The sequence below is a fragment of the Homo sapiens genome, chromosome X (assembly GCF_000001405.40).
Source record: "Homo sapiens chromosome X, GRCh38.p14 Primary Assembly".
NCBI lineage: Eukaryota > Metazoa > Chordata > Mammalia > Primates > Hominidae > Homo > Homo sapiens.
The window spans coordinates 148600250-148614428 of record NC_000023.11 but is presented as its reverse complement, the minus strand read 5'-3'; the positions used below and the strand labels follow the sequence as shown (position 1 = coordinate 148614428).

General features: G+C 37.0%; 1 protein-coding gene across 5 annotated transcripts in view, besides 1 other annotated feature; it reads right to left on the bottom strand.

Annotated features, from left to right (window-relative positions):
• AFF2 (ALF transcription elongation factor 2) overlaps window positions 1-14179 on the bottom strand; it is a 500047-nt gene that overhangs the window by 386235 nt on the left and 99633 nt on the right. The window lies entirely within an intron of this gene.
• Window positions 3870-3979: an enhancer, noted in NCBI's record as "active region_30009". NCBI's record gives its function as "activates an Ori minimal core promoter by ATAC-STARR-seq in GM12878 lymphoblastoid cells {active_cell/tissue: GM12878}" and the evidence as "EXISTENCE:reporter gene assay evidence [ECO:0000049][PMID:35858748]".

The following is a 14179-nucleotide window of genomic DNA, read 5'->3' as shown; positions in this document are numbered from 1 at the left end:
ACCTCCAGGTGGTTGAAAATAGAATACTGTGTCTCATTTCTTCAATCTGGCCTCTAGCATTAGATTCATAAATGGCATTAGCAGACATTGCTCTCATTCAAAGGGCCAATTCAGCTTTCCACCTACAACAATGCAAGAAATTTCAGAAAGGTGTAGCTAAAAAATAAAAATAAAGCAAAGCTTGTAGATACACAAAATTGTGTGTAAATTAAGCTATCATCAGTCACTTCCCACTTTCTCTTTGATTATAGTTTTAAAAATGGTTTGTCTCCATTTCTAATTGCATCAACTGATAGTTTATCCTAACAATTGAGCTCTCCATCTCTGATGGTCCCCCTAGCCTCTCCATTAAGTTGTTAATGAGTTGCCAATTCTTACATATCTTATTTAGAAGAATGTGCTCGGATTTTCTTATGTCAAGTTTTTCCTAAACTGGATATACAGTTGTTATTAATTTAATGAACCGGTGCCAAAGCACCAAGCTAGGTTTTACAGGAGTACACACATCAATGAGACATAAATCACTCTAATTCACGGCTAAGTACAAAAACAGAGATACAGAGTGCAGCAGGAATGTGGTGGATAAAGATTTTATCTTCGGCTAGAATGACCTGGAAATGTTTCTCAGAAGTGATGAGGACCTGATGTGCATCTTTACAGATCAGTTAGAGTATATAAAGCAGGGAAAGGAATTTCAAAGAGAGAGAGAGAGATATGGCTCAGATGACAACAGGAGACTATAGCACAGGGCTCATGAGGGCATGTGATGGGAGATAAAGCTGGGGGTTAAATTGTGCTGGGGCTCACATTCCAAGCCCGAACATTTTGCCTTGGTATTGAATGGAGACAGAAAGGCATTGAAGGCCACCCCATTATTGAACTCTTTAGGCAGATGGCAATGGAGTATACATCTAAATGTCTCCATTCCCACTGTATCCTGGGTATTTCTATTGTAAAGGGCTTAGAGTGAAGGGTCTTTTTTTTGCCTAATCAAAGAAGATCAATCCGTAGACAAGCAATTTCACATTCATTTTCACTTGCAATTCTTTCCTGGGATGTCATCTGTTATGCATTTAATATTCTTTACACTCATCCCCTCACAAATTCTGCATCCAAGTGCATAAAGACGGATCCATTTCTTCAGACAATTCCCACCAAGGCCTCCCTGTGGATGCCATCAAGATTTTGCACCTGCAATTGGCTAATTGCCAGCACAATAGGCCACTTGAGCCTTCAAAATTAAGGATTTAACGATAAGTGGGGAGGTACAATGATAAATGAAAGGCTGAATTCACACTTCTGATTTCTATGGCCTAATATATTAGGGGATGTAAAATGGAAGCAGGCCATAATGAAGCCTAACAACAATCCTTATGGTCACTATTGAGTCTCCTGGAAAAAGCCTCTCCAATTTAGAAACTGTGAGTGAAAGACTGCCTTAAAATCTATGATGTGATCATTATTATAGTCTCAAAGGGCAGCTTTGACACAACTACAGTGATTATTTTCTAACTTCTCTAAAAGATTGACCACCTCCTTTTTCCCTCCCCCTCCTTTTCAAGAGCCAAGTTTCAAAAAGGGGGAAAGAGAGAACCAAAGAATGACTTCATGAAGGCCACATTCTCCAAGGTCTCAAAAGCACTTGGGAAATTTCACCAATTGGATCACAAATATTTGCACATTGGTTATCTTTTCGTACTAATCAGAAAATTCTCTTGTACAAAATGTCTGGCCTTAGCTAGCATGTTGTTTCTTCCAGTTACTGGGCTGCCACAAGGACAATAACCAGCTTACCAACCAGGTCTTACATAAGCCACAAACCTAGGATTGGTCTGGTGATCATGTCTCCTTTTAACCTTGTAAGTCTCTAGAAATGTTTTTCCCACATATGCAGTGTCTGTTTTTAGAAGCATGTTCATTTGCTAACGTGGTTGCATATATTTCTTAGTTTGGCAGCAGCAACAGCAGTATCAGGTGGAAAATACCCTATTAGAAAAGCAATGTATATTCAATAGCTTTGGTAAAACAGTTTACTCTTTCATATTGAGGAAATCCTTGGAGGAAATTACAAAGATTATGCCTTACAAGTATAATGCACAAGAAGAGAGGGCTTTGTTAATAGAGGTTTCAGACATCTTAAGCAGGGAGGAAAAATCTCCATAGATAAGAACTCTCTTTAAATAGGCCTAGTCTGATACATGGACGGAGGCTTAGGAAAAGTCGCTATTGTCAGAACTATAAATGGTGTATAGCTTACCACAAAACTTACATGAACTTTCATATAGTTTCACAGTCATGAAAATGAGTCAGTACATAATTCTCTATGGTAGACTGAGGGGGTTTCCTAAGAAATTAAAGGTCAATAAATTTAAATGGCATGAAGTGCCTGATTAATAGCACAGGAAAATAAATCCCAGAACAAAAGCCCTGCAAAGTTAATCCCTATTCACACATGCTGTTATCAAGAAATATGTATTTAAGGCTTACTAGGTACTAAATGCTGAGTGGAAAGCATGCAAATGTGCAAGGAATGGCCCCAGATCTCAAGATTATAATTATTTGGAAAAATAAGACCCATTGACATATAAAGACAATTAACTGATTTAGACACTCCCTAACAACTGCCAAATGAGTGGCTGGGCCCACTACGGGTGGGTTCAGGGAAAGGAGAAATTCTTGAAGGCTGGAGTGGGCAAGCAAGGCTTCATGGAGGAGTTGAAACTGGAGCCTCCCAAGATGGAGAATGGAGACTATGTAAGGCTCAGAGATAGGAGTCCAACCAGCCCACTCAGGGCACAGTGATTGTCCCAGTCTGTCTGAAGAAAGAGCAATTTTAAGGAAGCAAAGGAAGATGAGTTTGGGAACGTACTGGGTAGGGGTTGCTGTCATGGATTTTCCCCTAGAGCCTCCAGAAGGAATGTAACCCTGCTAACCCATTTTAGATTTCTGAACTCCAGGACTGTGGGAAAATAAATTTGTGTTGTGTTAAGCCACTAAGTGTGTGATGATTTGTTACAGCAGCCATGGGAAACTAATATATCTTATGTGTATACAAATACATTTCTCATCTTCACAAACATTACTGTAACCATTAGACCATACTATCTGAATGTAGTGTTTAATTTCAACAAATTGGAGACAAGACAGCAAAGCCAGCTTCTCCAAAGAAAGCTTACCTTCCAAATATCTCACTGCCTAAATCAACAACCATTCACCCAGGGCTTCCCCTACCTGCCAGACCACTTGATCATGAATGTCCAACTTCCAGGGTGCAAATTCACACAAGTGAAAATCTAGCCCAACTTTCCATTTAACCGTCACATCATATAGTTGATAAATGGGCCTGTTTTTCATGTCTCTGCTAGGAATACTGGGAAGACAGAGCAATATTTGAAAAACATTGGGCTAAGTAAAATAATTATAAAGCATTATTTTAATAAGTTACTGCTTTCAATGTCAACTAATATAATTCATTCAGTGTTGTTTCCTCCTTAGCTTTATTTCCCATTTAACAAGCTCCCTGAATACCTTTTAAAGGGATTGTGATGCCTATATAGAGAAATAAAATATATTTTAAAACATATTTTATTCTCACCCTCAACTATTACACAGCAGTCTTTGGAAAGGCTGATAAGATCAGTTGAGCCCAATGTCACTAAGTGGAGATAACCTGATGCCATTTCCCAAATGCCAGATTGTAGCAGCGGCCTGATCACCAACCCCCACAACTCTCCAGGCACATTACCCACTGGAAATGCAGTTGGAATGGCAGAAGTTCACTTGCATAAATAAATCCCAAGCCAATTCCATAAATAATAAATCACTCATCTTGTAGAAGAAAAAAGATGCAGCTACACAACTTTTACGTGTAATACTATGGCTCACTCAGAATGAAAGGGGGAGAAACAGAAAAGGGAAGTACAATTTCCTCTGCCCTCACTAAATGTTATTTGCAAGAATATTTGTTTTCTGTTTTGCTTCACTTTGGTTTTTATCGTTTTGAAAGGAAATGCACAAAAACATAGATATCATTAAATATGGAATACTAAGAGGGCAAAGAGCATCATGATCGGGTAGAATAAACCCCAAAGTAGGAGTCAGGAATCCCACATTCTGTTACTGGATTGGCCGTTAACTGCCAAGTGAGCAACAAACAGGTAGTTTCACCACCTGTGACTCAATACCAAGTCATTTACAGTTAGAATTATTAATAGTAGGGGAAAGAACTACAGCGATAATAACAATGCACCCATACTGTGTACCAAGTGTGCATGAGTGCTCTCACTCTTCCACCCCCCTCTCTCTCTTCACATGGGCAATTCCTAATTCTTAAAACGATCCTATGAGATAAGCACTATTATCACCCATCATTGACAGATAAGGGAAGTGAGGTTCATGAGGTTCAGATTACTCAGTAGTGGAGACCAGGAAGTGCTCAGGGAAAGCCAAAAGCTTTCACAGGCTCTGCTTTGCACTCACTCTTTCCCTTCCTAAGAACAAGATGGATGTGGGAGGGGCAAAGCTTAGGCCACTTTGCTCAGAGGCTGCCCCTTTCAACTGCCTTGCCAAGGAAGCAGGAAGGGATCAGATTTCAAGACAATCCTTGTAGTTCCCTGGGCAGGTTGGCTGAGCCATACCATGACAGGAAGAATGTCACCAGGACCATATCCAATGTGTGTGTCTCAGGGTACAGGCTTTAACAGGGATTGTGTTATTTATTTCCTGGTTATAACGCACATACTGAGTTGGGAAGGGTGTGTGGAGTAAGAAGGAGAGGAGTTAGCATGCAAAGTACTTTGGCATTTCTGCTTCTACAAGGAATTACAAAGTACAGAAAAGGAATGCTGCTATAAAACTCCCAAAATTAGACTTGGTTTCAGATCAAAAGCTAAGAAAATAGTGAGAACCCCTTTTAATTCAGCCAGTCACTACACACACAGACAGACCACAGCTCAAATAATATCCCAGAAACATACCCATGTACATTCAGAACTTAATATAACCCAACTAGAACAGAAGGCAGGTGTTAATACTATTCCTCAAACCACATTTCCATGGCATTTCAAATATTTATAGCTTGTTATAAATTACACCAAGGCCACATATCAAAGAATGAAAATCACCCATATTAAATTAATCAGAGATTTTAGAAAATTATACATTGCACATGACTGAGTATAATACATTTAATGTTTCAATGTCATGGAACATTTGCTTTATAAATAAAATATGAAAGTGATTAAGCTCTCACAGACCCTCAGCAATATGGCAAATCTATATGCGAGCCCCCTAAGCCCTGGATTTGTATCTCTGGATTTTGGTCACTGAAGAAAAACAAAAAATCATGCAACTGAACTAGATCTCACTAGTTGGTGATGCTCCAGAGGAAAGTCAATGTCAGCATGGGTAAAAGTGAAATTCAATATCCTAGTTCCTAGTACTCTGATTTCTTATAAAAGAATTCAAATGTTACCCTCAGCTCTATAAGCTCAGTTGCCACTCTCCTTTAATGGAAACTTAAGTGCACATTGAAGGCAGGATTTGGCTCAAGGACTTTCTATGCCACACTAAACATTCGTGTTGTTAAAAGCATCTTTACACATATACGCCATTAGAAACTAAGATTGGATTTCAGGACAAGAATGTAAAATGTAGACTTTGGAGATGTCTGAGGAAGTGTTTAAAATATTTCACCTAGCCCAGGTAACATGGTGAGACCCCGTCTCTATCAATTTTTTTTTTTTTAACTAGCTGGCATGCGGGCATGAGTAGTGCATGCCTGTAGTTCTAACTACTTGGGAGGCTGGAGTGGGAGGATGGCTAAGTCTGAGGTTACAGTGACCTACAATCACGCCACTGCACTCCAGCTAGGGTGACAGAGTGAGACCCTGTCCCTAAAAATTAATTAATTAATTAAAATAAAGTATTCCACTGACTCCCCTACCAATAAAGAATACAAGCCTTAGCTTCCTCCAGAGCCAAGCAACTACACAAAAGTCACCAGGTAGCCAGAGTTTTCCATGGATTCTGAAGATGCAATTCCACATCTGTGCTTCTTAGATTTCATGACATCTTTCCCATTTCTTTATGGAAGTACTGTATAGTTACGTGACTGTGTGTATGCTAATTCAAATTAATTTTGCTTTGAGGACCTTATGATAGCTTCATAAAGCCATTTGGAAAAAAAATTGTTGACACAATGGGGTATGTCAAAACCAGTGCTGTAAGTCCTGGAATACATCTCCCAAAACTATATAATCCAATACCAGACCATGGCTTTTTTGTCCCTTTTTACAGAACACCCTACTCTCAAGGGTCATATTCTATCCTGGACCTCGGTAAGTGCAACAAAACTAGATTATAGCTCTACACTGACTTCTAGTTTCCAAAACACAATTGCCTCTTTGCATGGTATATTAAATATTCCCTTTTAGCAGCAGTTCTGAATATGGCAAGGTATCATCAACTTCTCAGAATACTCATTGTATTATTCTGTTGAAAAGCTGCACATGGCAAATAGGCAACATTGGGAGTCCAAACCCTCTTCTTGGTCTGATGAGATAGCAATGGCCTGCCAGGCACATTACCAGTATATAGCTTCTCTAAAAAAAAGAAACCAGATAGATTTGTAGAACCATTTTTAAAAGAGATTTTTTTCCTTATAATTAAATATAAAATCAAGTTTCCTTGTCATAAACTAATTGATACAAATCTTCAAATGATGAGAGAAATGGTATTCCTGCAGGATTTATATAGAGTGGTTGTGTGCCCCTTTGATGTTGCCCTCTAATGTAGATAGACTGTATTAGTCCATTTTCATACTGCTATGAAGAAATACTCGATACTGGGTAATTTCTAAAGAAAAAGAGGTTTAATGGACTCACAGTTCCACATGGCTGGGGAGGCCTCATAATCATGGTGAAAGGGGAAGGAGGAGCAAAGGCACATCTTACATGGTGGCAGGCAAGAGTGTGTGTGCAGGGGAACTGCCCTTTATAAAACCATGAGATCTTGTAAGACTTATTCACTATCACGAAAACAGCACTGGAAAACTCACCCCTATGATTAAATTACCTCCAACCGGGTCCCTCCCATGACACATGGGGATTATGGGATCTACTATTCAAGATGAGATTTGGGTGGGGACACAGCAAAACAACATCACAGGCCAAATTCTCAAATAATTTTATATCTCTATTCTAAAGACAGTCTTGGATAATTCAAGGAACCTGAGTTTCGGAATCTGGAAGATTTGGGCAAGAGCTTTTACTAGCTTAGTGAGCATGGGAGCCAGTTACTTTACCTTTATGAGATTCTGTTTCCTCATCTTGAAGTACTCAGCCTATAGTAAGGTCTCAATTTTCTTGCTTTACATCTTGTCGTCTATGACCCTAAACATGTTGCATGGCACACGAAGCCAATTTCTTATAATTGCCTTAGAGCAAGAGAGCTGTGTAATGCCCAGAAACAAGCTCAAGTGAGTTTAGAGTAAATGCTTTAAAAAAAGAGAGCAAGTTCCTTATTTCACTTTGACTAATTCAGGCCTGAATTAGGAAAACACTCATTTATGTGTCATTGTCTCAACCAGGAATCTCTGTTAATTGGCACTTCTGTGTGAGTCTCCTATGCTGTACAACCATAATTTGACGTTTATAATCATGATCCAGAGGTATTGCAAAGTCCTGAAGTGCCTACTGAATCGTCAAAGATTCAATTACATACAATCTAGTTTTAGTTCTAAGTGATCGTTTGAAAATTGGTAATTCCTGTATGGTATAGAAACTGAAAAATCTGGCATATAGCATTCACATGCTATAGCATCTACAAGGCTTGGAAACACCATAGAAAATATGCAGGCTACTAAAAAGCAGGTTGGGTTTAGAAAATTTTACAAATCTATCCACAAGGCTGACTTGACTTTTTTTTTTTAATTATTTTGAAAGAATTTTAGACTTTAATACAGAGAATTTAGGTGTCTTCTCTGACTACCTTTCCTTAGTGTTAGCAACTTATATTACCTTAATTGAATTATCAAAAAAAGGAAATCAACATTAATAAAACACAATGAACTAAACTACAATACTCTTTTCGATTTCAAAAGATTTTCCTCTAATGTCCTTCTTTCTGTACAGAATCCTATCTTGGATTCTACATTGCATTTAGTTGTGTCTCCTTGGTTTCCTACAATCTGTGACAATTAATTCCTCATCTTTCTTCATCTTTCATGATCATGAGACTTTTTATGAATCCTGGTAATTTATTTTGTAAAAGTTTCCTCAATTTGTGTGTATCCTAGGTTTTATCATGATTATATGTGGAGTTATGCCTTTGGGCAAATATCACAGAAGTAATATTGTAGTTATCATACTTTTCTCAGTGCATCACATCAGAGAGTTCAAGATGTCAATAATCTTAGTTGTTAAAGTTACTCTTTTTCCCTTTTTAACTGGTCTAAATTTGGGGGAGATATTTTCAGACTATGCTAACACCCTGTTTCTCCTCAAATATTCATCCATAGATTTTGATATTCATTGTTTGAACTTGCCTGCGATAATTACAGAGTGGTCTTTCACTAATGGTGACTTGGTATTTCATTCATTCACTCACTCATTAATTCATAGCAGTATGAACTCATGGATATTTATTTCATTCTATGGATCATAACCCGTTACTATCACTGCTTATTTAGTTATCTAAATTGTCCATGATTTGACCATTGGATGCTCTTTTGTGCTGGCTCCTGTGTTCTTTGTCCTTTTGACACCTTGATCGTTTGTCAACACTTCCTTATTTCTAGCATCACAAGATATTATAGGTTTAGTTTACAGTTTTCTGGCCCCAGTGCCGGACTCAATTACTTCACCAAGAGGCCCTGATTTCACTTATCAGAGTATGGTATTTAGAAATTAAGATCTGGGTGCAAGGTGTGCTTATTGCTATGAGGATGTCATTACTTCTAGGCTCTCTCAGCAAACCAAGCTAGGAAATAATGGGAATGTATACATGTTTATATCTATTTATCTACCACCTATCAAACATGAGTTCATACTGATACCTCCAATTACAATCCAACACAAGTTTCAATCTGGACTTCCCCCTTTGCTTATTTGTAACTCCTTTTTCCAACAGTGAGAAACCTAAGCTCATTATCGTATATTCACATATATTAATATGTTATTCAAATAACATATATTCACAGTTTGCTCAACCGTAATATTCACAGAGTAGTTTTGGAACTGTGAAATCATCAGGGCCTGGTGTTTTTTGTGAAGTAGTTCATTCATAACTTTCTCTATGCCTTTCATGGATATTGATCTGTTTAAGCTTTTAAAATCAAGTAAGCTCAGTCTTGGTAATGTGTATTTCTCTAGGAAATTATTGATTTTATCTAGGTTTTCAACTTCATGTGGATATCTGAAAAGTAAATACTTGTGATTTTTGAAAACTTATTTTTCTCTAAAGGATAGTTCCCTCTTGTCATATCTTATTTTGTATAGTTTTTCTTTCTACTTCTTTTTCTTCATTAAATTAGCTAATAGTTTATTTGCATAATTTAAAAATCACAGAACTTTGATTTATTGATTAGATTTGCTCTATTGTTCTGCTCTCTACCTCATTATTTTCTATTTTGTCTTTATAAATTCCTTCTTTTTGCTTTCTTTTGGTGTACTTTGTTATTCTTTTTCTAATATTTTGATCTGGGCATTTTCCCATTGATTTCCACTCTCATTTTTATTGGTAAAAGTGTTCAATGAAATGAATCTCTCTCTAATCTTTGCTTTAAATGCATCTCATAGATTTTTATATGTAGTGTTTTATTTTCCTTTTTTTTAAATCTGTAATTTCAATTTGCATGTCCTCTCTCATTCAGGAGTTTTTGCAGTGGCACATGCCTTTACTTCCAGCACTTTGAGAGGCCAAGGTAGGAGGACTGCTGAAGCCCAGGAATTCAAGGCTGCAGTGAGCTATGAGCGTGCCACTGCACTTTAGCCTGGGTGAGAGAGCAAGACCCTGTCTCTTAAAAAATAAAAATAAAAAATAAACTAAAATTTCTAGATGAAAGTGACCATCTAGTTTTTATTTTGTTAGCAGTTTCTCAATTTATTGCATTGCAATTGGAGAGTGTTATTTGTATTATACTATTTGTACTTTACAAAAATGATTCATGTTTTCAATGAAACCTAATATATAATCAATTTTTGTGAATGTGTCATGGCACAGGAAGTGAAATTTTATACATTTCAGTTGAGTAAACCCATCTTCCAAGAAACAATTGCAAAGTACAAGAAAACTATAATCCAACACATAAAAAGATTTAAAATACTCAAAAAGAATATTCTTAAAAAAGCATTTGAAGATATGAAAATCTGCCTTGACTCAGAAATCTAAACCTAAAATTAGAGATGTACCAAAAAACCCAGGAATAAATGAAAAGTAAGTAATGAAACTCAATAAATAAATGAAATAGACAAAGTTATCTAAAAAATAAAGAATAAATTACAAAGTGCACGAGGGAGAATAGATTCAAATGAAATTTAATAAGAGACATTGAAGAAATATAGAAAAATAACCAAGATAATTACATAAATAAGAAAATCAAAAAGAAGCAGAAATAATGTATTGTAAATGGAAGAAAGGCAAAAAACAATTATTTTACATTTATATTATTGGGGTCCCTGGAAAAAAAAAACAAAAATGCTGGAACTGAGCTAATAATTAAAATTATAATAAAAGAAAATGTTCCTGAAATAGAAAAAGATCTGAATCAACCCACTGAAACGGCTCACTGCATCTGGAGAAAGTATCCTGAATGATCAGCTCAATGCATTTGGTGGCAAAACTAGTAATTTCAAAGATGATGATAAACATCTCAAAGTCTCCCCCTAAAATAAAAATAAGCTACAGAACACAAAAGAATTAGACTGGCATCAGAGTTTTCAAAACCAAGGCAATGATGGGGGAAAAAAAAAAAACCACCTAATGAAAGAAAGTGGCTAGATTTTATATCTAGCCAGTCTGTTATTCAGATACCAATATAGGAGAAAATAAAAGTTTTCAACATAGAAGAACTTAGGGAATTCTGCACATACCAACCCTTTTTGAAGTTTTTCTCAGTCGCCCCTTACTGACTGCAAAGTCTTTTATCAGAGCAGAGTCAGGGAAGAATCATGAAATCACACACTGAGATTTGGTGACATTTTTTTTTCCTCTTTACACATAGTGATTTCACATTTGGCACTGTCTGTCTTCAAATTATCCTAAAAGAATTTGGTTTAGTGTAGAATTTACTTTTCCTATATTGTTATTTCTTATGGTTTGTGGAGGTAAATCTTTCAAGACAGCCAGCTGTGCTGCTGACATTACCCTTGACTCACTAGACACATTCTTGACTTTTTAATGTGTCAAATCAGAAACTTCAGATTGGAAGAGGGGAAAGTCCCATCAGTTATGTAATTAAAAAAAATAACTTACATGAATTTCCAAAGTTGTTTCTCTCCTAAGACTCCTTTGTAATTATCTACTAAGCATTTATTATTTATGATGCACTGTGCTAAGTATTTTACCTGCATTAGTCCTTACAGATTCCATTTAAAAAAAAAAAAAACTTTTGAAGTGGCTACTATTATTCACCTTTTACAGATTAGGAAAATGAAGCTTAGAGAATATGTCCAAGGATCAAAACCAAGGCTGCTCCATGGCAAAATTGGAGCTCTTAACTGTTACTCTACATTGCCTGTTCTTCAGCCTCTTCTCGTTATATGGCCCCAACAATCACTCTCAAGTCATTTCTTCGTTCGTTTTGTTCACTCAACCCCAAGAGCAAATTTCATCTACCTACCTCCAAAATGTATTCCCTTTCTCTCCATCTATATTTCTATGACCCTGGCCCAAGTCAGAATCAACTCTCACCTAGAAAACTGCCATAATAAACATCCAACTCTTCTCTCATCCTCCGCTATCACCCCCTCCAATCCCACACCCCCCAATCCATTCTCCATATGGAAGAGGACTACATTTTTATTAATAAAACATAAATCGAATCTTGCCACTGTCTGACTTAAATTCTCCAACAACTTCCCACTGCTCTCAGAATGAAATCTAACTCTTTCCCATGGCCTGCCAGGCTGTACAATATCTGTCCCCGCCTTCTTCTTTTATTTCATTTCATGCCACTCTCCAACTTAATTACTCTTTTCTTGCCAATACTGGCCTCCTTTCTCTTTCTCCAACTTGCCAAGCTCATTCATACCTCAGAGCCTTTGCATTTGCTATACACTTAGCATGGGACAATTTTCTCCAAGCTCTCTTTTTAAATGGCACCTCCTCTGAAAAGCCTTCTTCTGAGCACCCTGTTAAAGGTAATGCCCTCACTCCATCACTTTACCCCATGCATCCTTACTCTAGTAGCCAAGGCTTTTTAATTCATAACAGTATCACTTGTTGTTTGGTCTGGTTATTTATTGTATCCTCAAGTATCCAGAATATGCAGCACACAGTAATGACTCAAAAGAAATTTATTTAATGAGGAATGAATAATCAATATATTGGCCATGTTTCCTGATGAGCACAATAAAACCATTATTGAATGGAGACATAGGATTTAACAAAACATTTTTATGCTGTTTGCAGAAAGAGGCATATAGAGTTTGTCGCTGGGATATTAAAATATTGAAATTTATAAGACATTTTAGTGATTTATGGAACTTAAAATCTTTTATAATAATTGTTCTCAAAAATTCACAATATATGGATTTCAGGTACTAAAGATATAACCTTAAGAAATTCCTACTTTCTCGTTGGAGGGAGAAAAAAAAGATATGCCTGTAATACATGCACACTTAATTTATACTGAATGCCAAGTGAGGGCCACTGAAGTTAAATGCCAAGAAAATTTAAAGAGCTGGAGAATACTAAAGGAAGATGAACTTAAAACTGATCTTAAAGGATGGGAAAGAGTTAGAAAGCTTTTTTACTGGACTTTTGTTTCTTAAAGGTGAATTTGGGATAAATTCATTGACGATTTACATAGATGCCAGGCTCTCCTAAAGTGTAAACTCACCTCCGACTGTGAGATATTTTAGAAAACTTCAGAAAATATTTGCCCTCGCTGGGGTACAATTTCTGTGAAGCAGATAACTTGCTAAACAGTACCTCTAGTGGTCTCAAAGAATTCTTTCAGCTTCTTAAGCTGCCTCATTCCCCAAGTAAGAAGTAGTTTCACAATTCTGAGAATATGACTCATTAGCAATATATGTGCTACATCTATAATTGAAATTAGTACTTAAGTAGCAAGATCTTCCCAAAGAGCAAAACAATGACAAGGAAAGAAAAAGAAATGTAAAAGAAACGCTCTCAGAATGAAATGTAACTCCTTTCCATGGCCTTCCAGGCCCTACAGTATCTGTCCTCCCTACTTCTTTTATATCATTTCATGCCACTCTCCAACTTAATTACTCTCTTCTTGCCAAGACTGGCCTCCTTTCTCTTTCTTCAACTTGCCAAGCTCATTCATACCTCAGAGCCTTTGCATTTGCTCTACACTTAGCTTGGGACACTTTTAAAATATTTCCAAATATGTTTTTTAAATGTTGCAGTCACTGCCTGCTTGGAGGAGGCTCAGCCTACTAACTGACTTGGGAGCAGGCACAGGGAGTTTGGGGGCGGCAGGCATCTGGAGATGGAAGGAGGTGAACTCCTAAGAACAGTAGTTGAACAAGTAAGAGTAGGTTCTGCCACATTGTGAGAAAATGTGAATTATCAACAAACACTTCCTACACCTGATATCTTTTGTATGGTGAGCTGCACATTTAATAAAGAAGCAGCTGCCACTACTGAACGATTAATCAATACTAGTAAGCTGACGTCCTAAGTACTGCTGAACTGAAGCTTTTCTTTCCTTCTTGCATTTACAAATAAAGTGCTCAGTATTTGAATAACGCCCGTCGACTTGACCAGAAAATATCAGAGTCCTATTTAAATGACATTTGTAGAGAATGAGATTTTCTTCTGGCTACTGCTCCTTATCGCTAATAATAACATCAGATTAGTGGATTTAGGCCGGCAGAGGAGCAATGCCTTTTCTGATCCCTTCTTAAAGCAGCCTTTTCCATCTGTCTCGCCAAGCTGTCCTCCTACTTGTTTGGGCCAATGAGCAATTCCTAAATGGCACTTCATTGAA